The sequence below is a fragment of the Homo sapiens genome, chromosome 13 (genome assembly GCF_000001405.40).
Source record: "Homo sapiens chromosome 13, GRCh38.p14 Primary Assembly".
NCBI lineage: Eukaryota > Metazoa > Chordata > Mammalia > Primates > Hominidae > Homo > Homo sapiens.
The window spans coordinates 24,044,560-24,071,382 of record NC_000013.11 but is presented as its reverse complement, the minus strand read 5'-3'; the positions used below and the strand labels follow the sequence as shown (position 1 = coordinate 24,071,382).

Genomic DNA, 26,823 nt, shown 5'->3' with positions numbered 1-26,823 from the left:
GTGGTGGTGATGTTATTATTCCACTTAAACACAGTTTCCTGAAGTTCAGCATAGCAGGCTAAGCTCCAACTAGCTTCTGGATCACTTCAGACAATGTCTGGCTTCCCACCCTTTGGTCTTGCTGCCCTCCATTCCAATGTGTCTACTATGAGTCCTAGGGCTCAGGTGACTCCACTGAGATGCAGCTGTCTCCTCTACAAAGGAATCATATCTCATCATTCAAGCAGTTTATGACTGGGCTTAAGCACTAGTTTTCTACGCATCCCTAGTTCCTCTGGTCATACTAAAGTCCTCCCTGAACCATGAGTGCATTCATCATGGTTCTCCAGGGAAACAAAACCAACAGAATATATACACAGATATAGACATTAACACAGACGTAGACATATACATAAAGGGAAGGACCTGACGCCTACAATTGTGGAGGTCAGCACGTCCTAAGATCTGCAGCACGAGTTGGCAGCCTGGAAACCTGGGAGAGCTGAGGACATAGTTCCAGTCTGAAGGCCGGCAGTTCTGAGATCCAGGAAGAGCTGCTATTTTGGTTTGAGTCGGAAGGCAGAAAAAAACCAGACGTGCCAGTTTGAAGACAGTCAGGGAGGGGGAATTCTTCATTACTTGGGGGAGGGTCAGCCTTCCGTTCTATTGAGGCCTTTAACTGATTGGAAGAGACCCACCCAAATTAGGGAGGAAAGTTGACTTCACTCAGTCTACTGATTTAAATGTTAATCTCATCCAAAATCATTCTGACAGAAACACACAGAATAATGTTCAACCAAATATCAGCACCCTGTGGCCCAGTCAAGTTGACACATAAATTTAATCATCACAATAAACACATAGTCCCAAAGTAAGGCCGAAGCTAATCAATCAGTAAAGTTCTATTGGCTCAGAGTAGACACAACCCAAACCACGACCAAAACACACCAGAGACGCCAAGTACATGGACTTCTGGAAAGAGATATCTCCTCTCTCTCTTCCTTTCAATTGGGGGGCCATCCCTACCCTGAGGGAAGTGAGCATATGGTAGGGGGGCGGCAGAGGAGGCAAGGAGAATCCCAGAGAAATGCTGCAGCCCTGGTCAGCCACGCATCAGGGCTAATTTCCTCGGACATTTCTGTTGCCCAAGCAGACCCATCATGTTTACCGTGCAAACCAATTTGGATGGGTTTTCTGTCACCTGCAAGATGAAGTCTAACTGCTCTACTCTGACACTGGAACCGTTTTAGTCCACAATCTGCCCCTGCTCCTGAACTCTGTACTCCAAGCAAGCAGTCAGTATGTGAAACACCGTCCAAGCTAAACTATGTTCTTGGAGCTGAGAAGATGTTCCTCAAATGTCCATGCTGCCTAGCCTTACCTCTATCCAATGAGTTACTTGCCAGAGACCCCTCTACCGCACTCCCACATCTCAGATAGGAATGCCCTCCCAGAGTGAACTCACATTGGGGACCTTCCTTTGGCCTCTGAGATTTGCAGTGTTGGTCACCTTTTGGGGTCAAGCCCTCAATCCTGCCATTTCCCAACTTTCTCACTGTCACAACGGTCAGTGCCATTTGGTCTTAGATTATGTACAAATGATAGAATTATTGAACTGGTAATATTACATGAATAACAGAATAAATGATCAAACAAAGAACAGTTGTTGGCAGGATAAATGCTGTACGTGTTCAAACAAAAATAATGCATGTTAGGCATGCACCCCTGGAATGTAAAATTAAGAAAAATAAAAACAAAGTTAAGTCCTGGCCAGGGCAATCGGGCAAGATAAATAAATAAAGGGCATCCACATAGGGAGAGAGGATGGCAAATTATCGCTGTTTGTAGACACATGATCCTATATCTAGGAAACCCAATCTCAGACCAAAAGCTTCTTAACCTGATAAACAACTTCAACAATGTCTCAGGATGCAAAATCAATGTGCAGAAATCACTAGCATTTTTACATACCAAAACAGTGAAGCCAAGAGCCAAATTACGAATGAATTCCCATTCACAATTGGCAAAAAGAGAACAAAATACCTAGAAATACAGCTAACCAGGGAGGTGAAAGATCTTTACAAGGAGAACTACAAACCACTACTCAAATAAATCAGAGATGACACAAACAAATGAAAAACATTCCATGCTCATGGATGGGAAGAATCAACATTGTAAAAATGGCCATACTGCTCAAAGCAATTTATAGATTTAATGCTATTCCTATTGAACTACCATTGAGATTTTTCATGGAACTAGAAAAAAATATTTTAAAATTCATATGAAATCAAAAAAGAGCCCAAACAGCCAAGGCAATCCTAAGCAAAAAGAAGAAAAGTGGAGGTATACGCTACCTGACTATACTACGCAAGAATATACTACAGGGCTACAGTAACCAAAACAGCTTCTGCACAGAAAAATAAACTATCAACAGAGTGAACAAACAACCTACGGAATGGGAGAAAATATTCACAAATATGCATCCAACAAAGGTCTAATATCCAGCATCTATAAGGAACTTAAACACATTTACAAGAAAAAACTTCATTAAAAAGTGGGAAAAGGACATGAACAGACACTGTTCAAAAGAAGACATACATGCGGCCAACAAACATATGAAAAAGAGCTCAATACCACTGATCATTAGAGAAATGCAAGTCAAAACCACCATGAGATACCATCTCATGCCAGTCAGAATGGCTATTACTAAGGCTCTCACTGCATAAGAATGCAAGTCAAAATAGTCCAAAAATAACAGATGCTGGTGGAAATAACAGGTTGTGGAGAAAAAGGGATGCTTATACACTGTCAGTGAAAGCGTAAATTAGTTCAACCACTGTGTAAGACAGTGTGGTGATTCTTCAAAGACCTAATGACAGAAATATCATTTGACAAAGCAATTTCATTACTGGGCACATACCCAAAGGAATATAAATTGTTCTATTATAAAGACACAAGCACGTGTATGTTCAGCACAGCACTAATTAACAATAGCAAAGACATGGAATCAACCTAGACAGATTGGATAAAAAAAGTATGGTACATATATACCATGGAATACTATGCAACCACAAAAAAGAACAAGATCATGTCTTCTGTAGGGAGGTCATTATCCTTAGCAAACTAGCAGGAACAGAAAACCAAATACCACATGTTCTCACTTATAAGGGGGAGCTAAATCAGGAGAACTCATGGACACATAGAGGAGAACAAAACACCCTGGGGCCTATTGGAGAGTGGAGGGTGAGAGGCAAAGAGGATCAGGCAAAGTAACTAATGGCCACTTGGCTTAATGCTTGGGTGATGAAATAATCTGTACAACAAACCCCCATGATACAAGTTTACCTATCTAATGAACATACACATGTACCCCTGAACTTAAAATAAAAGATAAAAAACAATTTTAATTAAAAACAAAACAACTATAATCCTAGCACTTTGGGAGGCCAAGGCATGCAGATCACCTGAGGTCAGGAGTTCGAGACCAACCTTGCCAACATGGTGAAACCCCATGTCTACTAAAAATACAAAAATAGCCAGATGTGATGGCAGGCACCTGTAGTCCCAGCTATTTGGGAGGCTGAGGCAGGAGAATCACTTGATCCTGGGAGGCAGAGGTTGCAGTGACCCGAGATCATGTCACTGCACTCCAGCCTAGGCGACAGAGTGAGACTCCATCTCAAAAACAAAACAAAACAAAAAGAAATCATGCATATTAGGTCAAATCAGCAGCTTTTTCTACCCCAAGATTCTGTTCCTGAGGTGACACAGCATAGAGCCTTCCACGCTGTTAACTTCAAAAGAAATATTAGTTTCAATTTTCCATCTCAATGGATTTTAAATTTGATATTTATTACAGCTCTATCACTGTGAATTTACTTATATAACTTTCTTGAATCTACTTGTATTTTTGATGTATACAAAAACGTGGGCTTGGTATTTGATGGAAAAGTAGTTCTTTATGTCTTGCTTTTTATGAAGACACCCAGTTTTGATGCTCTTAAGTTTAATGACTAAATCCCTATTTGACCTAATTATGATCCTTGACTTACAAAGGGTACATACATATAGCTCAGGAAGCATAGAACAAGAGGCAGGGACATGGGATTAGTAGGATTTCCAGCTATTTGCTATCTGGATTCTGGTGTTTATTCATGGAAGTCATAACTGAGTGGAGTTCCAATCAGGGATGGGGAAAGTGTGAAGACTGAGACTGAAGTGTAAAGATTGGGCAGGCAGCAGTGCCTGGGCTGAGAAGTCTATGCAGCTTGGTGGGGTGTGGGGCAGCATGGAGCTAGAGGGTGCTGGATCCTAGCCAAGAGGGAACAGAAAGAAATGCAACCAACTTCATCTGCTTCCAGTTTAGCTCTGAACTGGGTATACTGAGGATGGCACAAGAGAAAGGCACTGGGCTCTAAAACTGTGAGGTTAACAGAAGCTGCTTTAGCTATTATCTTGCAAATGGCAACCCCAGGCCTCTGCTTGGTTTGGTTTGCCCCTCCCTAGGTTGCAGTTCTATGGCTGTCTACCAGTCTGCCAGATCTGGCCGGAGTCTCTGAATCTGGCTGCCACAGAGGGCGGATGCCTGCTGGAGTTTGAAGGTTGACTGTGCAGTTGGCATTGTCAACCTGAGCCTGCTCCCTGTTTTTAAGCCATGGTGTGTGCCAAGCAGCAGAGTCTTGTTTGAAAGAGTGAGGAGGGGAATGAAGGTGGGGGGCCTGAGGGGTGAAAACAGACCCCTCCTGGCCCATGAAGGCAGGGGCTGGCATGAAAGGAGCCATTGTGAGCACAGTGAGCACCTGCTGTCCCCTCCATGGGTGAGGCACTCCCGCCTTTGAGAAATGCCTCTGCTTTGATGCACAGCTCAAAGACAGGTTTGTCCCAGGGTGGTAAAATGGTGGCCTGTTTGGCAGCTGGTCTACCATGGCAAGAGTCCTAGGCTTGAAGCTGGGAAAAGAAGGTGCAAGCTCTGGGAGTCTCACCTCCGGGCCGTATGACTTTGGGCAAATCCTTTAAACTCTGAGTCTCAGTTTCCCCATCTGCAAACTGGGAGAAAAAATGCTTGTTTCAAAGAATTGTGATGAGGGTCAGGTGAAATGAGGTATGTGTGAAATTCAGGTGGGGCATATCTGGAAAGGAATGAACCCTGCTTAAGCCACCATCCTCTGGTGGGGCTTGGCATTTTGGGGTGAGCAGATGGATTTCCTCACCTGGTCTTACCCATTCTGGTCACAGACTGATTAATTCAACTATTACCTTGGTCCACGTGTAACCTAAAGGTACAATATAGGTATGTACCTTTAACAATTCATAATCAATTATAATGGTAATAGATTATATTTGTTTCACACATACTATGTACTTGGCATTATTAGGCAAATGCTTCAGGCGTGCTATCTCATTTAACCTTTACAACAGCCCTAGAAAGGCCAGACCAATCTCAGGTTTCCCTGTGACAACATGTAGCTCAGATTACTTAAGGGGTCCAAGACAAGTCAAATTGTTAAGTGGCAGAGCTGAGATTCAAACCCAAGTATTTGGACTTCAGAGCCCATGCTTTAGAACTTAGAAATATTTTTAAAAACTTAGTTGAGAATGACAGAACTCACAGCATTGTCGAAAGAACTATTTATGGTTGACCAAACTTAGCTTTATCATAAATATCTATGAAACTATCATAAATATCTATGAAACAAATACAATACCATGTGATTCTAGTATTAATTCCATCTATTCATCAATAATAAATTGTTGATATATTTAGTCAGGTGTGGCTTAGGGGACGTCTCTCTCTGTCTTGTGAGGAGCTTATATTTTTGTTATCCAATTCCATGTTACTTGCTAATATTCATATATGCCACGCTGTCTTGAATGGTCAGTGAGTTCTCAGCGTTGGCTGGGGTAAGACTTGCTCAAAAGTAAGACTGAGATTCAGAGCTACAGGTGGCTGTATTTCCAGAGCATCTATGACTGCTTCCTGGAATCTGTTACTACACAGAATTGTGCAGTGGAGGAACATAAGCAGGCTCACAGCCCTCCCACACATGCTCTGCCTCCCATCTGCTACCCCTCATACAACCTTCTCCACCACACACATCAAAACCCCCACTCTGAAGCTCAGCACATGGGGGAAGTTTAAGAATCACCTTAAACTAAGTAGACAGCTCTTGGTGGCCCAATGACCACCTGAAAAGTTTCTTTCCTATACAGTTGTCGCTGATATATTTTATGTTCCATGTGCATTATTAGACATCCCCCTGACAGGTAAACATCTTAGAGTTTTGCTACCGTAAGTTATAAAGATTTAAAGTTTCTGACATTGAGACTATAAATGTTGTAAAGTTACATAATGTTAATATAAACGCAAGGTCCCATCCAGGATGTCACGTTGCATTTCATTATCCTGGCTCCTGTGGCCTGTGACAGTTTCTCAGGCTTTCCATGTTTTTCATGGAAGCTTTGAGGAGTATTGATCAGGTATTTTACAGAATTTTCTTCAATTTGGGTTTGTCTGATGTTTTTCTTATAATTAGACTGGACATGAGGCTTTTTGAAAAAAATACCTACCCCACAGGTGAAGTCACATCCTTCTGGGGGTACATGACATGCTCATGACATCAGTGGTGGTATTGACCTTCATCGCTGATTAAGAAGGCACCCAGCAGCATTTTAGTTTGGCTGCTGTAACAAAGTACCATAGACTGGGTAGCTTAGAGCCAACAGAAATTTGTCTTTCACAATTCTGCAAGCTGGCAAATCCAAGGTCAAAGTACCAGAAGATTCAGTGTCTGGTGAGGGCCTACTTCCTGGTTTGTAGATGTCTGTCTTCTTGCTATGTTCTCACATGGCAATAAGGGCGTGGGAGTTCTCTGGGGGCTCTTTTATAAAAACACAAATCCCATTCATGAGGGCCCTACCCTCATGACCCAATGACCTCCCAAGCGCCTCACCTCCTAACAGCCTCTTACTAGGGGTTAGGATTTCAACATATAAACTTCAGGGAGACAAAAACATTTAGTCCATTGCAGCCAGGTTTCTCCACTGTGAGGTTACTGCTCTCCCATTGATTTAATTGTACTTCATTTAAATGTAATCTGAATGTGGTCTAGTCACTAACTCATAAAATGTGGGCTTGACGAAACGGAGACTGTAGCCATTCTAGTAGCTTTGTTGTCTGTTGTTACACTGACGTACTGTGAGCTTTAGAACGCATTAAGTGATCTGTGACAGGCTGGTCCATTCACAGGGAAAATAATCTGGAGTGGCCTGATGAGGCAGGAGAACAGGTGCAGTGAACACTGACAAGAGAAAGTGCTGGAAGGGTAGGCAGGCATGGTCAAAGAGAGAAATGGCTGACTTGAAGAAGATGGCAGAGATGGAGCAGATCCAGGGCACGTTTGCTCCAGAGGCACCCACTGGAGGCGGTGAGGCCACACAGTGAAGAAGCAGCCCCTCAGAAAGGAGGCAGGCAGGGAACGAAGACCTCAGGTCATTAAGGAAGTCATCTCTGGGGTCTCCTGGAATAATGCTGGGATGGTGAGTGGAGTGCCCTCATCCCTGTGAGTGAGGCAGGAAACGACACAAATTCAGGACAGCGACTAAGAGAAGAAAGCTGGATGACATGTGCCGTAGAGAGCAGGTTTCTGTTTTGTTTTCTTTGATTTTGTTTTATAAAGGGTGAAACATCAGCAACGAGAAGGCTGCCCCCTCCTCCTGACCCTGAGCTGAAGAGGATGTGGGAGAAGGAGCCGCCCCCACTTGAGTGGGCTCAGGGAAGCTGTGTAATTGGATGGCAGCCAGGGTTCAGTTCAGCAAGGACATGGAGGAACATTTAGTGATGATGTGGGGGAGTTTGGTTTCCTGCAGGGAGGGTTCTGGAGAATCTGGCAGGCATGTTTGGGAGGAAAGGCCACCGAGGGATGTGGGCCAGGGGAGAGGATGGCAGTCAGAGTCCAGAGGCGCTTACACAGATCAAGCACTGTGATAACTCAATAAGTACAGGAAGGAATATGTATGTTAAGTAGCTCGATTTAGCCATCCCACAATGTGTACAAATTTCAAAACCTGCTGTACATGATAAACACATACAATTTTTATTTGTCAATTAAAAAATCAGATATCCTTCACTCCTCCTATGAATCCCTAGTGAGTGCTCTCTTTGTGCCCATGGTGGTTTGGCAAGGAGGAGGCAGACGCGAATAAAACCAGGTTCTGGCTGTGGAGCTCACCCTCACGTGGGGCAGACCTGGGGCCAGTGCATGGTGAGCACTGGGAGAAGGAGCCTGGTCCAGGCTGGCTGAGGACAGAGGGCAGGGCTGGGTCTCAGGCAGGTGACCCCGAGGCCAATCCCAGGGAGTACATCTGAGCAGGGAACCTCTGAGGAGGTGCTGGGAAGTGTGTCCCTTGTCCTGAGTCTCCCCCACAAACCCCCAGGGGCACTTTGGCTGTGCGAACTTGGAGGCCCTGGCACTGTCAGATGGCAGGATCATGACCACAGAATGCCATCCACAAGCATGCAGTTTGCAACAGTTTCCAAAGTAATTTCCTGGCAAAACCCACTCCAAATTGAAGTTTGGAAATCCCGATACTTCTCTCAATCTTCAAGAAGGGCTATGAAGGATGGAAGATAACAAATGCATGTGGACACATGCAGACACGGTGCACATACACACACACAAACACACATACACACACACAACCCCTTATTCAGTACAGCTCAGGTGCAGTCATGAGGATACTTCACTGGGTCTTCCTTACACAGTTCCAGACACACCGAAGCCCGACTTCTATAAGAAAACGGAAAATTAGAACTGGATGGAGGCTCCTTCGTCACCGGATCCCCACCCTCTGTTTTGCAAATAAGAAGTGTGGCTCCATGGAGGTGAGGTGACCCAGGTTCACAGAGCCCTGGAGCGGCAGGGCTGGTGGGAAGGCAGAGCCCCTTGGCTCCCAGCACCGTGCACCCTGGCGCCATTGGAGAAGAATTTCATCCTGACTGTGTGCCCTCAGCTCTCTTCGTCCTGATCAGCCCCCAGTCAGTCCCTGGCCTCCTGCCCCCAGCCCTTTAGTCCTTCCTCCAAAGATGACAGCCTCACCCATATCCACAGGATTTTGCATTGTGCTCCGCCAACAGCACTTTGAACCATGAGAAGTTAACATGGGGCTAAGAAGCCCTAGAGCTCTTCCCGGAATAGCATCACTAGTAAACAGCCACACTGTACCAGAGGTCACAGTAGAGCATCTGAGATGCAAACAGACCTGTTAGAATTCACACAGGCAACTGAGTGTGTTCCTCAAGATACCCCCATGGGTGGGTCATGTCTCCATCCAGTGACGCTTCCATCGCACATAACACCTCTGGACCTCTGTCTCAAGGCAGCAACAGCAGTGAAAAGTAGGCTTTGAGTCAAAGATACTTAAGTTAAAGCTTAGTTCTAAAACATACCAGCTAGCTGTGTGGCTTTGGGTGAGGTACTTAACTTCTCTGAGCCTCAGTTTTTTTCTTTTTTTTTTTTAATTTTTAATTTTTTTTAAAAACTTTTATGTTAGGTTTGGGGTACATTTGAAGTCTGTTATATAAATAAACTCAGGAGTTTGTTGTAAAGATTATTTCATCACCCAGGTATGAAGCCTGGTAGTATCCATGATTTTTTTCTGTGATTCTCCCTCCTCCCACACTCCACTCTCAATTAGACCCCAGTGTTGTTGTTCCCCTCCTGGTCTTCACGAGTTCTCATCACTAAGCTCCTATTTATAAGTAAGAACATATAGTATTTGGTTTTCTGTTCCTGCATTAGTTTGCTAAGGATAATGGCTTCCAGCTCCATCCATGTCCCTATAAAAGACACAATCTCATTCTTTGTTATGGCTGCATAGTATTCCATGGTGCATATGTTCCACATTTTTTTTAATCCAGTCTACCATGGATGGGCATTTAGATTGATTCCATGTCTCTGCTATTGTTGAACAGCACTACAATGAGCATTCGTATGCATGTGGCTTTATGGTAGAATGATTTATATTCCTCTGGGGATATAACCAGTAATGGGATTATTGGGTCAAATGGCAGTTGTTTTTAGCTCTTTGAAGAATTGCTACATTACTTTCTACAATGGCTAAACCAATGTATGATCTCACCAATAGTATATAAGCATTTTTTCTCTACAACCTTGCAAGAAGCTGTTATTTTTGACAGTTCGGTAACAGTCATTCTGACTGGTGTGAGATAGTATCTCACTGTGGTTTTAATTTGCATTTCTCTAATATTAGTGATATTGAGCTTTCTTTCATGTGCCTGTTAGCCACATGTATGTCCTCTTTTGAAAAGTGTCTGTTCATGTCATTTGCCCACTTTTTGGGGGGTGCGGGGCAGAGTCTTGCTTTGTTGCCCCAGCTGGAGTGCAGTGGTGTGCTCTCAGCTCACTGCAACCTCCGCCTCCAAGGTTCAAGTGATTCTCCGGTCTTAGCCTCTGGAGTAGCTGAGATTACAGGCATGCACTAGCATGCCCAGCTAATTTTTGTATTTTTAGTAGAGGCGGGGTTTTGCCATGTTGGCCACGCTGATTTCAAACTCCTGACCTCCCAAAGTACTGGGATTACAGGCATGAGCCAGCGTGCCCAGCCGCATTTGTCCATTTTTAATGGAGTTGTTTGCTTTTCTCTTCTAAATTTGCTTAAGTTCCTTACAGATGCTGGATTTGGATATTAGACCTTTGTCAGAGGCATAGTTTGCACATATTTTCTCCCATTCTGTAGGTTTTCTGTTCATTCTGTTGATAGTTTCTTTTGCTGTGCAGAAGCTCTTAAGTTTAATTAGATCCTATTTGTCAATTTTTGCTTTTGTTGCAATTGCTTTTGGCATCTTTGTCATGAAATCTTTCCCTATGCCTATGTCCAGTATGGTATTGCCTAGGTTGTCTTTCAGGGTTTAGATAGCTTTGGGTTTTACATTTAAGTTTTTAATCCCTCTTGAGTTACATTTTTACATGGTGTAAGGAAGGGATCCAACTTCAGTCTCCTTCATACGGTTAGCTAGTTATCCCAGTACCATTTATTGAATAGAGAATTCTTTCCCATTGCTTGTTTCTGTCAGCTTTGTCAAAGATCAGATAGTAAGTGTGCAGGTTGTAAGTATTTCTGGGCTCTCTATTCTGTTCCACTGGCCTGTGTGCCTGTTTTTGTACCAGTACCATGCTGTTTTGGTTACTCTAGCCAAAAAATGTAGTATAGTTTTAAGTCAGGTAATATGATGCCTCCAGCTTTGTCCTTTTTGCTTAGGATTGCCTTGGCTATTTGGGCTCATTTTGATTCCACATGAATTTTGAAATAGTTTTTTCTAGTTCAGTGAAGAATGTCATTGGAACTTCTCAATAAACCAGGTATTGAAGGAACATACCTCAAAATAAAAGAGCCATATACAACAAAACCACAGCCAACATAATACTGAAAAGACAAAAGCTGGAAGCATTCCCCTTGAAAACTGGCACAAGACAAGGATGCCCCTCTTACCACTCCTATTCAACATAGTATTAGAAGTCCTGGTCAGAGCAGTCAGGCAAGAGAAGAAAATGAAGGCATCCAAATAGGAAAAGAGGAAGTTAAACTATCTCTGTATGCAGACGACATGATCTTATCCAGGAAACGCCATAGTCTCAGGCCCAAAGCTCTTCACCTGGTAAACAACTTCAGCAAAGTTCCAGCATACAAAATCAGTGTGCAAGAATCACTAGGTTTTTCAATTATAAAATGGACACACTTATACTTACTTGAAAGCACTAATGACAGGATTAAATGAGATAATGGAAATGAAAGTATCTGTCCTCAGCATATAATAGCCTCTCCAAAATGTTTTGTTTTTGTCTTCCTCCTTTGGGGATTCCACCTCAGAAACAAAAGCGTTAGTGTAAGTGACTTGGCAGTGCCAAATCTCTGTCTTTTCAATACAGCCAAAGCCTATTTGGATTCAAGTGTAGCCAGTGAGACTGGAAATCAAGTGGAAAACACAAGGCACTCCCTCTACATTAGTACTGAGAACAATCTTCTGAGAGATCAAAGACAAGCCTTTTTTTTTTGTGACATTCACCAAGTCCCAAGAGTTGTGCTGGGTGGTGAGGTTACAACAGTACACAGGCCAGGCCGGATGCAGTGGGCCACACCTGTAATCCCAGCACTTTAGGAGGCCGAGGGGGGTGGATTACGAGGTCAGGAGATCGAGACCATCCTGGCTAACACGGTGAAACCCCGTCTCTACTAAAAATACAAAAAATTAGCAGGACATGGTGGTGGGCGACTGTAGTCCCAGCTACTCGGAAGGCTGAGGCAGGAGAATGGCGTAAACCCAGGAGGCAGAGCTTGTAGTGAGTGGAGATTCCGCCACTGCACTCCAGCCTGGGTGACAGAGCAAGACTCCGTCTCAAAACAAAACAAAACAAAACAAAAAACAATACACAGACCATGGCTCTTGTCCTGGAGCTTACAGGTCTACATGAGACAGAGTTGGCATCATTACTGGGGTAAACAAATGCACAGCTGTCCAAGAAAGGTGATGTTCAAAGACAACTTCCGTGGGGTTGAAGACACTCTGGAAAGTTTGTGTAAACATAAATCTTGCTACCTGACAGGTTAACCAGTGAATCTATAGCTCCCAACATAAATCATAAGAAAGAACAATTAGATAATGCCTCCAATAGTTAGCGATTATTCACTGATCTGTCAAGTTTTATCAAACTTAAAAATAAGCAACTAATAAATTATCTGAATTTCATAATTATGTAGACCGTTTTGAAGCCATGAGTTTCACACCAAGAAAGTTATGAAGTTAGTAATTTCCTCTGCTAGAATCTCCAATCAGGTAATCAATTATTCTAAGTAATGTGTAGCCCTATGACATACAGATGAGTCTCACATGTGTGAGCTGTTCCTTTGTCCCGTATACAGTAATCACCCAAGGCAAAAACTCTAAAGCTTTTCCATTTTGCCTCAATTTTCTCAGTCATAAAATGGAGATATCAGAATTCCCTGCTGAAGGGATTACGGTGAGCATTAAATGAGTTGATATAATTAAGGGGGTTTAAACAGTGACTGAATCAGGTGAGTGAGTTTTCTATTACCATTGTTAATCTAATCTGATACCCAGATAACAATATCACGTAGAGAGTTTTCAACACTAGAATCCTTCCTTCCACTTACGATCAAAAGACGTCATCCTATGTAAGCTTTCTGGGTTTGGTTTCATGGCCAGCAATAACTAAATTTATGTAGCCTCATAATTATGTAAAGGTAAATAAATACAAAGACATAACACTCCAATGTGGGATCAGGTGTGGGGCCACAGCATGGCCAGATGGGAGCTCATCTTGCGTTGGGTGTATTAAGCAGGAATGACACTGCCAGGCTTGAATTTGGCCATGAACATCTCCTTTCTGCATCCCATGGTCCACTGCCACAGCATCCTTGGAGTGAAGATATAATAACGTGGAGTTAGGGCAGCGTGGGGAGGAGTTTCCACACCAGCTGCTGAAATCAAAAGAGAGGAGGGGAATCTGGAGTCTCTCTTAGCCTGACCTCCTCTCACTAGTCCTCCCTGGACCTCCAAGGGGAAGGCTGGGCTCTGTACCTCCCCTCCCACCTGACTGCAGTGTTGGTTTAGGGTCAAGGTGCTCAGAGACCAGAGAAAAGATCACACATATATACGGTGTGGCAATTCCAAAAGGCCAGGCTTGCCCGTCTTCAGGAAGTAACATTTCTTATGACGGTTGGAGGTTGGGGATAGGGGTAGGGTGGAGAGAAAACAAAGAAGTAGAGTTTATGCCCCAACAAGGTAAATCAAATTCCCAGCCCTGCACCAGTCCTTTCAGTGCCTTTGGTCATAAGACATTCATGCAGAACATCCCACATCACCCAGTCCCATATGGATGCAGTCACAGGACTCAGAAAATGCCCTGTCAACACTGGCTTCCCTGAGGGGCTCCATTTAATAGCATCAGAAAACCACCTCACTAGAAGTGAACTGAAGAGACCCCTCTGCAGATAGAGGGGGAAAATTCAGGACTTTGTCAAGAGGACCGACAGCTGCAGTGGGAGTGCAAAGCGCCACAGGCCGAGAAGTGGCCGAGATTAAGAAGTTCCATTTCCCAACATCACACTCCGGGGACTGTTGTGGGGTTGGGGGGAGGGGGGAGGGATAGCTTTAGGAGATATACTTAATGTTAAATGGCGAGTTAGTGGGTGCAGCGCACCAGCATGGCACATGTATACATATGTAACAAACCTGCACATTGTGCACATGTACCCTAAAACTTAAAGTGTAATAATAATAAAATTTTTTAAAAAAAGAAAAAAAAAAAAGAAAGAGCCAGACGCTATGAAAGAAAGAGAGAGAGAGAGAGAGAGAGAGAGAAAGAAAACAGCCACAGATGTGTCTGTGGCTCGAGTTTTTCCCAGAAACGCCCTAAAGCTGGCCTAATAAATCTCCATTCATTGAAAAAAAAAAAAAAAGAAGTTCCATTTCCCCTTGCCCTGTCAAGGATAAGGAAGGCCACTCCCTTTTTATGTGCAGGACGATGTGAGGGGCAGAATTGGACCTGTGGCCCGATCAGCTTGGAAATCTTATCAGACACGCACAGCAACGTACTTGTCTTTTCTTCATTCCTCTCCCAAAAAACAAAGCCACCAAAAGAGACAGCCTTCTATGTATCATGTATTCACAGCTAAGAAGGCAGGGCCATCCGAAGAAGCCATCCCTTCCATTCACTCAACATATATCCATGCATATATATTCCCTCCTATGTGCTAGACACTGTGCTGGGCTCTGTGGGTGCAGCAGTAGGCAATTCACACAACATGGAATTTACATTGCAGAAGAGAAGAAACAGTCAAACATATAATTAACAGTGACACTTAGGACAGAAGGACAGAGGTCCATGGGAGCATGTAAGGTGAGCATCTAATCCATCATATGTCTTGTATGGAAATGGAATAACAAGCCTAAAGGTAAGTTTATCCTTTTGCTACTTGAAAAGCCGAAATGCAGATCTACGTGGTTAACCAGATGTGTAACCTTTGCCTGTCCACCCCTTTCCAAAACTTCCAAAGCATCTCTAAATGGGTCCTAATGCACTTGAAGGTGGACATATAGTAGATATTCACTGAGGCTGTTCTGGACACTTTGTTCTATTCCTTCATCACTTCTAGTTTTAACTTTTCCTATTTATTCATTTGATACAAACTGACTCACTTCCTCTATTCAACTGTTTCAACATCTGTGAAATTCTGAGGGGTGCCCTTCATCCCATCTTTCTATCATAACCATGAGCTCTACCATTTTAGAGGACTTTTCATGGAGAAATGTGTTGGCTCCTTCCATCCATAAAGCCTGTTGTTAACATACTCTCCAAGTCACTTGAACCACTGATGCTAATATGGAATATCCTCATGTCTCCTTGCATCACAAACATCCAAAACCACTTTCCATAAAAAGGCACGGCATTGCCAACGCCATTTGTCTAATGTAGCGTGGTCACTTTATTCTGGACCCGTGCGGTGGTGGATTGGACTCCTCGGCCAATGAGAGCAGATTTCCACAGAGCCCACTTGGCTTAGAATTAGGACATCCAAGAATATTCAGAGTTGGAAAGTAATTTTGAGATTGTCTATTCCATCTTTATTATTGGTCAAGGAGAACACTGAGGACCTAGGAAAGTGGGTGGCTTAGCCAAAGGCACCTGGCGAGTAAAGTCCCACAGCACCTGAGAGCTGGTATTGGAACCCTTGTTCTCGAATACTTCTGTTTCCTGCCACCATCCCAGAATCCCTGCAGCCTAGCACTGTGCCTGGTAGAGCAACACACAAAACATGGTTTCTCAGTGAATGCATGGTTACTAAAGGTGCTTCGGGCACTGTTCTAAGACCTCTGCATGTTTTAACTCATTTACTCTCCCTACCAGTTCAGTAAGGTAGGTCCTGTTACCATCCTCCATCTCCCTAGGCAGACAGAAATTAAGATATTTGCCTAAGAAAACACAGATAGAAAAGGACAAGGTCGAGATTTGAACCCAGGCATGCTGATTGCATCTGGGATCTTACACGATGCACTGTACCCGCAATGAAAGGATGAATACATAACATCTATAACACTGAAGGAGAAGGAGAGGACTGGGGAAGCAATTTAAGAACAACAACAAGATAGAAACTGATGTCATTTAAGTGTATAAGATTTTCACAAAGACACATGCTTTGTAACAAATATGCACATGAATTGCAGGCTGATCGCTCTGTGCCATATATGTAAAGCGTACAACCTTCAGGCTGCTGGAGGCTGTAGGCTTGCTCAGAATGTAAAATATGACAGGGCACAACATTGGCATATAAAGTTTGAATTACAGCAGCTGGCATTATATTGTTTATAAAAATTGAATTATGAGTGTAAAATAATAGTCATAATAACCAGCTTCTGAAAGGTAGCTAGCTAAATTGACTTAATGTTTAAATGCTGGGACATATGATCACAAGAAGTGAGCGCTGTTATTGTATGATCTGTCACACAATTTTTTTTTAGAAGAGGTTACACTTCATAAGTGACTGAATTCATTTTTCCAGTTTAAAAAATGAATATTCTCCATTTTATATACAAGTGAAAAATGCATATCCTCCTTAACCTTTTCTCCTGTGAGGTAGTATTAAACCTGTACACACTGGTTAAGAACCATCATAAATTAACGGTGCGCTACTATTATTATATTTCACATATTTTCTCTTCTGTACTCTTTAGAGTTCTATTAAATGCATTTTAAAAGTTCTTAGAGTTTGTGTTTTGGGGGTAACTATGAATTGCTGCTACATGTCAAAGTTAATTTAAACTAAAAATGCGTATCTGGTTTGCACATTAGACAGCTAAGCTTACAATATGGTCCTTGCAGTGTCATACAATTTCCCCTAACACTAAATTGGAAAGTTATCTCTGGGCATGCTGCTATTTCTAATGCCACCACTGCCACTGCCAGTAGTAGCCTTAGTGATGGCTTCTTGGAAATCTCCCACTTGGATACTTGGACAGAGCTAATTTCGTTAAACTTCACATTCATCTATCTAAGATGGCTGCAGATGGATTTGCAGTTCTCTTTAAATCCACCCTGAAAGATTTCTTCCCTTTTCCTGGCTAAATGAACCAGTGGTCTCACACTGCATAGTTGCTGTGGGGTGTGATGGGAACTCCGGGCTTCTGGCCTTGGAAGTGGCAGACGAGGGATCTCTCATGGTGTCCTTGACCTGACTCCTCTTTGTGGGCTTCTTCACCTCCTCCTCCATGCTGCCCTCTCCATGGTTCACGGTGGCCCTGAGCACAGGGTGCCTGTTCTTCAGAGTGTCCCCGCAGGGCAGAGCTGTCCAGGAGCCTCCGTCACCCCAACGACACAGAGGCAGCTGTGGCTCTCTCATTTTTACAGACTCTCTATGCCTCAAGCACATAGACACCCCATAATAACACTTCCTTTGTGAGTTCACTAATGTTTGGAAAATCCCTTGTGAATTCCTACTTCATGGCATTAACAAGAATCCATTCCTGAAAATGTGAATGGTTCTGTTGGTTTCAAACAGCCATCAAGAAAACTAAGGGGTTGTTTTGGTGTCTTAAAATTCTTGTCTGAGTCTCAGTGGCTGAGACAGCAGCCCCAAAATCATACAGAAGTGAAACCCAAACATTGCCTTCCTCACGTCAGCAGATTCCAAGGACGACAGGATGGAGCCCCAGGTGTCTTAGACAGCTCAGCCCCAAAGTGGGTGCTCCTGGGACATCTAGTGGCCATAGAGAAAAATACTCCCACCGTGGGCCCAGGTGGCAAGGGAAGTCTATAAGGGTGCTTAGATACCAAGTGCATTCAACCTCCCCACTTCTAGCCAGGTAAGAAAGCTGAGATCCCAGGTAAGAACGGCTTGCTCAATTTCACATCTCCAATAGGAGGTGTTGGTACTTACTTCTCGTAGATCATTTCTACCCGAATTTTGTTATGCAGGAACTCCACGTGAATCAGCCATGGAATGAGTGGTTGAGAAGTTTTAGCGGCCTAGAGTTCACTAGATATTTGCATCAAATGCAGTGATTTTCCGAATTCTATTACACATTCCTTTGTGGATCACAGCACTGAGGCCGAATCCTAGCTCTGAAACTCTATGCTAACTTACCTCCTGCAAGACCTTTCCTGAATTCCACGATTATAAAATGCAAGTACACAAAAATGTTCTTGCTGCTCAGATACTTGATGCTTTATATCTAAAACAAGAATGTCACGGAGAAAAACAAGTTTGTGTTCTAGGTACGGATAGGTCTCAGAAAATTGAAACAAAACAATAAAAGAGAATTCCTATTTTTCAGCCCAAAGAGCAGCAGGAGAGAAGAGAAAATCCAAGAGAATTGGGAATTAGAGCTGTTATGCAAGGTAGAGAAAGGAAAAATCAAAAGCCAAGGTTCCCAGTCCCAAAATATCCCTGCAGGAAGCTAAGTGAAACAATTTTCCACAGAAAGCATGAGACATGTAGTATAAATAATGTGGTGGGCAGGGCACAGTGGCGGGGAGGATCCCCTGGCGGCAGGGGGAAGTGCTGCACGGGCCCCTGAGCTGCTGGCTGCCTCCCGCCACAGGAACGCAGTCGTGGGTCCAAGGCCAGGATGCTGAATATTTATATTCTGTTTATAAAATATGCCTTTTATTGAGAAATTTAGACACACTCTACTGTGTCCAAAGAGTCCTTAAACTCACATCCTTTCCATTTTCCATGTTCTCTTGTCACCAGGCCAGTATCCACAGCCTGGCTTTCATCTGGAAACGGGAGGGTGAGGAGAGGTGCTGTGGTGGAGATTCCTCACAACTGCCCAGAACATTAATGTCTCACATCATGGGTTTAAAAGAAAAAAAAAAACATATATTTCTTTTTATCAATAGTTAGAACCCTGAATGAAAGTGTTGGTCATTCTGAATTTTCTAAAATTTATTTTTATTTTTTAAATAATAGTTTGTTGTTGTTGTTCTTGTTTGTAGCGATGGGATCTCGTTAACGCTGCTCAGCCTGACCTCAAACTCCTGGCCTCAAGCAATCCTCTGGCCTCAGCCTCTCAAATTGCTGGGATTATAATCCTGAGCCACTGCACCAGGCCTATTCAGAATTCTAATATGCAACTGATTCTTAGTGATAACCAAGAAATAAAGACTTGGAGCTCAAATTGTGCCCGAGGCCTGCGATTCTTGAGAACCGTGCTTCCTCCTCCCTTTCTTCCATTTGGAATTGCGTTAAGCACAGAGACCCGAGGAGCCTGGACACAGCACAGGATGCTGGTGTAAGAAGCCAAACCCTGCGTCCAAACACAGGGACTCCTCACCAGCTGGTAGGGCTTCAGTGCACGCAGAGGAAGCCAAAGGACTGGCAAGGTGCACAGATGAGGTGGGAGGACCAGAGCCAGGACGTCTGAACCTGGTGAGGAGCTGCAGGGGTGGGCCGGGGCTGAGGAGGAGGAACAGGTGCCGGGGAACTCCTAGGACCCCAGGCTGGCGGCCACTGCCTCCTCTGTCCCTTGGGCATCTCCCTCTGCCCTGCCCTGGAGAACATAACTCTTAGCAGGCTCTTGCAGCCTAGACTTTTGATAGCACTGCTGCCTCTGACTCCAATCGCTACCACTTCCCCCCTAAAGCTCCCACCTCTGAAGATTCGCCTCATATCATCTCCTCTGTGTAATCTCTTCTCAGCTTCCCCTTGCCCCTAAGTCCCCACCCCTCCATCCCCAAACAGGGAGCATTGTCTCCGCTGGCTCCACTCTACTAGACCAGCAGGGAGACGGAGGAAGCATTTACTCCCTGGCTTCCTTCTATGGACCACCCACTGGGCATAATCTCCTCCCCTAAGGGTTGGGTGTGCATGAGTATGTCCCAAGTGCCATCGCCCAGGCAGGTGCAAGGATGTGTGAAACTGGAGGCGAGAGCCTGGCAGGCTGTACCTGGTGTGGCTGAAAGGAGATAGGGAGGGATGCCAGGCAGTCCTTAAGAGGACCTGGGGAAGATTCATCTTCAACCCCAGACAAGGGTCATTCACCTGAAATGCCAGGACCAGGAAGTCCTGCCGGCTGCAGGCACAGCATGTCCAACGTGATTGGAAATCACTTCCTGCTGTTCATGTCCTCTTGGAAGGTCAGGTGGCCACTGCAACAAGGTATGTGCTGCGTGGAGACTGGGGAGCAGAACTAGGGTCTCCAAAAACTTCAGGAGGCTAGCCCCAGCAGTGCTCACTTGGAGTTCATTTGCTCAGTGACATTCATAAAAGGTGGGGGAAATCCGGAGAAGGAAAGAGGTGCTCCCACAGCTACCCAGCTGGTGGATGGCAGATATGGGTCTATAGCCTGCTTAGCTCACAGTACACTCACCTGCAAAAACAGCTGGAAAACCCTCAGGTAACACAACTCAGATATTTTAGTACTGAAGTCAGCAAATAGCACATTCTTTTGAGAAGTGGGTAAGGCCTCCCAGGACAGTAAAGCTGCACCAGTTTAGGATGCTTGCCCCTTTATTTGGGTGTCTGAGTGTTACACAAATGACTGCCACTACCACACGTGGTGGGTGGCATGAGGCACCTTGGCCATAAAGTCCTGCCAGCGCGGGAGTCACAGACCATGCTCGTCAGCATTATGCATGGTGCCTGCACTTGGAGCAAGACAAAGGCAAGTTTTAGAAAATGCCTCCACATCCCTGCATTGGAACTTCTGGCTGAGGCACAGCACAGAAAATGCCTTCGCCTCTTGTGGATTCTTGTCCAGGGCTGAGACCTGGCCAGCTGCCATGCTGTGTCCTGGGTGCTGCTCCAGCCACATGCCAGCTGGGTCCCTCCTCCTTTCCTGTCTGTGTGCCTGACCAGGGACAGTGGCCCCTAAGCTATGGCTCCTGGGTCTCGAATCCTATACAGCATGAGGCAGCCCATCCGTGCTGTTTTTGTTTTGTGTTGATGCTCTCCTCTTATAACAAGGATATCTGATTTCTTGTGAGGATGAGTCAAGCGGGGAAATTTGGCTCCGGAAACTGACTCGTCAGCATTATCAGATTTCAAGGAACTAGAGTGCATTAAAGATTTTAGTCTTTTGTTACCAACTAAAAATCAACTTTCTATTTTTTAATATCTATTATACTTAACAGTTTCTCATAAATTCATGGCCATTATCAATACTGTGACTTCCCCAGATGGTTCAGAAAGAATCTGAAAGGCCTGGCATGGTGGCTCACACTTGTAATCCCAGCACTTTGGGAGGCCAAGGTGGGTGGATCACAAGGTCAGGAGTTCGAGACCAGCCTGGCCACACAGTGAAACCCTATCTCTACTAAAAATACAAAAATTAGCTGGGCGTGGTGGTGGGCACCTGTAATCCCAGCTACTTGAGAGGCTGAGGCAGGAGAATTGCTTGAACCGGGGAGGCAGAGGGTGCAGTGAGCTGAGATTGTGCTACTGCACTCCAGCCTGGGCGACAGAGCAAGACTCTGTCTCAAAAAAGAAAGAAAGAACGAGTCTGAAAATGTCTGCAAATGGAAAGAATCCGATTTCCCTCTTCCTGGTTTGTAAAGGGCCCTGCAGATACTGTCTGTTGGCTGCATGACAGACACTTGAGGTACTTTCTTCAGGATATTTACACATGTGGTGCACATGCCTTGCTGACAAACAGATCATCCACTCCCTTCACAGCCCATCAGTTTCGTGTTTTTAGTAGCCTGAGGTTGGTATCATTGCATGTATATTACAGACTCCCTATACAGGCCTCCTAGATATTGCATGTACTGCTTAAGTTGCATTACAGCATGTTACATTTTAAACGTTACTGTGACCACCAACACCTTCTTAGGTCTAGTCATGCATTTCTTACTAATGGGGCTACATTCTGAGAAATGTAGGCGATGTTGTTGCTGTGTGAACAACACGGAGCGTACTCACACAAACCTAGATAATGTAGCCCACCAAACAGCGAGGCTGCACGTTGTAGCCTATTGCTCCCAGGCAACAAACCTGCACACGTTACTGTACTGAGTACTGTAGGCAGCTGTAACACAATGGTAAGTATTCGTGCATCTAAACACACCCAAATGTAGAAAAGGCATAGAAATGTGGTATTATAATGTCATGGGGCTGCTGTCCTGTAGGCGAGGCATCAGTGACTAAAATGTTGTCATGCTGGGCACAACGGTATTGCTGTTGTTACTGCTGCTGTTGTTCATATTTTACAGCAAAGGAGATAAAACAACTGGAGAATCAATACACTTGTTCTAGGCTCCTCATCATGTCCAGGGTTAGAAGACTTTAGACATTTCTTATCTTTTTAACCTTAATCCTGAATTTAAGTAACCATTTGGTAGCCCCTGTGTCTACTTCATTAATATCAGTTCCTATCCCAATTAATTTCCTTTTCATAGGTCCTTTTGTTTTGTTTTGTCATTTTTTTCTTTGAGTTTCCTAACATGAATTCTAACTTGTAGTTTTAATTTTCTTCTATAATAAAGAAGTTATCTGAAGCTATTTCCTCTAAATACAACTTTTCCTGGATGCGATAAATTTGCTACAAGGTCTTCTAGTTTGAATTACTATTTCTTTAACTTGGAATTTCAGCCTTGACTTCTCCTTTGCTTTAGGGACACTTTATGAGAGTGCACTCTGATATTAAACGGTTCAGCTTGGGTCTTTATACAATTTATTTATCTTTTTTTTAATTTTGATCAGAGACTGATGACTCTAAAATCTCTACTTTCCTGAACTATCTGAAATGTTTTCATCATCAAGAACCTAACTGAATTTTAGAAATTTTATAAAGTACAAAGGAGAAAAAAATAAGAGAAAGTTATATATTCCATATTTGTAGGATGTAAATTTTATATGTATTATTACACGAAATTATGAATGTAAGATCCTCTTCATCCTTGATTAGTTTACTAGATCTACTAAATTATTAAATGAAAATATTTAAAATCATTCATTATATTTGTGCTTTACCAAGTTCTGTTTATATATTTTTATTAGCTTTTGCTTTATATGTTTAGTTACATGTTGCTTTGTATATTATATTGTATCTTATTTTCTAAACAATATAACGTAATGCTAAAAATGCAACAGTCATCTGGGAAATGCAAATTAAAAGCATAGTGAGACAACACTACACCATAATGTGTGATAGTGAATTTTATGTGTCCACTTGACTGGGCTGAGTGATACCCAGGTGGCAGGTAAAATATTATTTCTGGGGTGTGTTGAGGGTATTTCTGGGAGAGATTAGCATTTGAATCACCTGGCTGAGTAAAGACTCACTCTCCCTAATGTGGGAGGCGTTGGCCAATCCTTTGAGGGTAGGAATAGAACAGAAAGGCATCAGGGAGAGTGACCTTGGCAAAAAGGACATCTGTCTCCTACCCTGGGATGTCAGACATTGACGCACCTGGTTCTTGGGCCTTTGGGCTTGGACCAGGACCTATACCACTGGCTTCCCTGTTTCTCAGGCCTTTGGGTTTAGACAGGAACTACACCAGCTCTCCCACATCTCCAGGTTACAGACAGCAGATCCTGTGCTTCTCAGCCTCCATGATCACGTGGGTGAGTCCCTCATCATAAGTCTCTTTCCATATATCTATACAGATTCTATTGGTTCCGTTTCTCTGGAGAGCCCTTGCTGATACAAGTGAAAAAGCCAACATGAAAAAGAGATAAAATACTAAGGATTGATAATGATAAAGAAGAACTCCCACACTATATTGGGAGTATAAATTGGCACAGCCACTTTGGAAAACTAATAGGATTTACTAAAGCTGATGAAACTGCCTTTGCAAAATTTGTAACAGTAAGAGAAATTTAACCTAACTAATTCCATCTTGCTTCTATTCTCACAAGCTAATTGCCTTTGTTAACTTTAAAACAAAGACGGTAACAGTCCCTTCCTGAAACTAACTCCCTCCTTGCTCAGGGACCGAAACTGCCTTTGTAAAATGAATGCAGGGCCACAAGATTAGGATTTTGGGAGAGGTCTGAATTCTACTAACATGTAGGCTTAAATGATAACCAGCCACTGTTCTCTGGCTTGCTTTTCTATAATTCCTTGCCTCTTAGGAGATGTGGCCAGAGGTCACAGGATTGGTGACTTTTCCAATTGTTCCTATAGATAACACTACTTTTATATTGCCTAAGATTGTTATTCTGAGATGTTTTTCAGACTTCTGCATTCTGGCAAATGAATGACTGCACCTGACCCGTGACTCATGACTCAACTAGTCCTGTGGACCCCGCCTTGAGGTGGACTCAGTGCACCAGGACCATTTTCCACACCCCTACAATTTCATCCCCAACCAATCAGCAGCACTCATTCCCTAGCCTGCTGTTCACCAAATTAGCCATGAAACCCCTACCTAGACTAGCCTCTGAGTTCTGAGAGAGGCTGATTTGAGTAATAAAGTAATAAACTCCTGTTCTGCTTGGCTAGCCCTGTTTATTAAACTTGTTCTCTACTGCAATACCGCTGTCTCAGTGAACTGATTTTATCTCTGCAGTGGTCAAGAAGGATCTGGTGATTACACTGATCAATATGCATACCTTCAAAGCAATTACATCTCTAGGTATATATCCAATAGAAATGGGTGTATGTTTACCAAAGATGTACAAGAATGTTCATATAAGCTTTATTCATAAAGTCCTCAAACAGGAAACCCAAATTTCTATCAATAGTACAATTAATAAATTTCGGTATTATACATTGGACATCTATACAGCTACAGGAACTAATAACAAACTCTTGCTACCCACACATCATGGATGAATCTTGCAAACATATTGAGTGAAAGAGGCCAGACACAAAAGAGTACACACCATATGACTCCATTTATGTAAAGCACAAAAACAGGCAAGACACTAGCCTGGGCAACATAGCAAGACTCCATCCCTACAATAAATTTAAACATTAGCTGGTTGTGGCAGTGTGTCCTAGCTACTGTGGAGGCTGAGATAGGAGGATCATTTGAACCCCAGGAGTCAGAGGTGTCAGTGAGCTATAATCACACCACTGCACTCCAGCCTGGTGACAGAGCGACACTCTGACTCTTAAAAAAAAAAAGGCAAAAGAAATCTATGGTGTTAGAAGTCAGGATAGTGGGTAACTTCCTAGGATGGGAAATTGACTAGGAGGTGACAGGAGGAGGATTTCTGAGGCTGTTTCTTAACCTAAATGCTAGTACATGAGTGTTCACTGTAAAAATCCAGGCGGCTACACACTTGACTTAGACGCTTTTCTGCATATGTGATACACTCCAGCAAGACTTAAAAAAAAATCTAACGCATGGTTCTGCACAGCATTTATTATGAAACAGAACATGCAATGCTTTGTATTTTTTACAAGGTAGTAGAATTCAAATATGAAGGAAAATTGTGCCAGGCACTGTGCTAATCCCTTCTCACAAATCACTTTAATTGTTCACATTGCCCATTGAGGTGGGTACTATGATCCCATTCTCCAGATTAGGGAAATGAGGCTCAGAATGGAATCAGTTCATCTGAGACCACACACCTGCTACCTGACCATGAGGAGGTGAGGAAGGCAGCCTGGTAGGCCGAGAGCCTGCAGTTGGAACAAATCCCAGCAACCCTGTGGCTCAGCCTGTGTCTCTCTGCAGGGCAAACATGATCTTTTCCCATGTATTTTATAGGACTTGCTTGGCGATTCTTCACAACAAAAATGAAGCCTTAGCATTCTTCCGTTGAACTTCTCGACTTCCCTTGAGGACTGATTTTATTTCATGACCCTTTGTCATGAGCCTGGTATTGTTTACAGTGTCATTTTACATACTAAATTTCTTCCATAACAACATTTACTCTACAATGTTTGTAACAATTTAAAAAACGTGTATTATGTGACCTACCTAATTGAATTTAATAATCTTAGCTTGTTTAGGGCATTTGATGTTTTCATGTCGCAGCAATTTAAACTGAGAGAAAAAAATGTTTATGCAAAATGCCTGTTTCCAAAAACTTTGGCTCATACTAAAAGGTGTGTATAAAATAAGGCTAAAATGCAGACCTTTTTAAAACCTCATAGAAAGGGAAGAAACATAATACAAAGGTCATGGTCGAATATTAAATTTAGCTCTAAGCTTTCTGGAAGACAAGAAGAACATAAATCTTATCTGATAAAAGGAAATAGATCAGTTATTCAAAGAAGACAATCTTTCAGGTACAAATTTCCAAGAATGCCACAGAAACATACAACTTTGTCAGAAGGATTGGCAATGAGTGATATAAATTATACATAGGGTGATTTTCAAAAATGTCATTGTAAGAGGAAAATCTTACAAACTCCGCCGCCCTGGATTTTATTTTTAGAGAGGGAGTTCAAGGGAAACACGAAAGAATAAAGGAAGAAAGGGAGGGTTTGAATTTTAAAAGGCTCACAACTTATTTCTCCTATCTAACTGTAACTTTGTACCCACTGACCAACCTCTCTTCACTCTGCCTACCCCCACCCCCACCCCCTCCTCTGGAAACCACCGTTCTATTTACTGTCTCCAGGAGATGGATATTTTCAGATTCCACATATGAGTGGGATCACGCAGTATTTGTCCTTCTGTGCCTGTCTTATTTCACTTAACATAATGTCCTCTAGGTTCATCCACATTGCAAATGACTATAGTTAACAATAATGTACTGTATATTTCAAAATAACTAGAAGAATGAATTTTGAATGTTCTTATCACAAAGAAATGGCAAGTATGAGATGATGGATATGCTAATTACCCCGATTCGATCATTAAACAATGTAAACATGTATTGAAACATCACACTGTACCCTGTACGTTATCA

The 26,823-nt window shown here is 43.2% G+C and overlaps 1 protein-coding gene and 1 long non-coding RNA gene across 2 annotated transcripts in view; one reads left to right on the top strand and one right to left on the bottom strand.

Moving 5' to 3' along the window:
* SPATA13 (spermatogenesis associated 13) overlaps nt 1–26,823 on the bottom strand; it is a 327,268-nt gene that overhangs the window by 235,687 nt on the left and 64,758 nt on the right. The window lies entirely within an intron of this gene.
* Nucleotides 17,828–19,197, top strand: LOC124903136 (uncharacterized). Its single transcript, XR_007063723.1, has 2 exons — nt 17,828–17,875; nt 19,011–19,197. It is a non-coding gene; the product is annotated as an uncharacterized LOC124903136 (long non-coding RNA).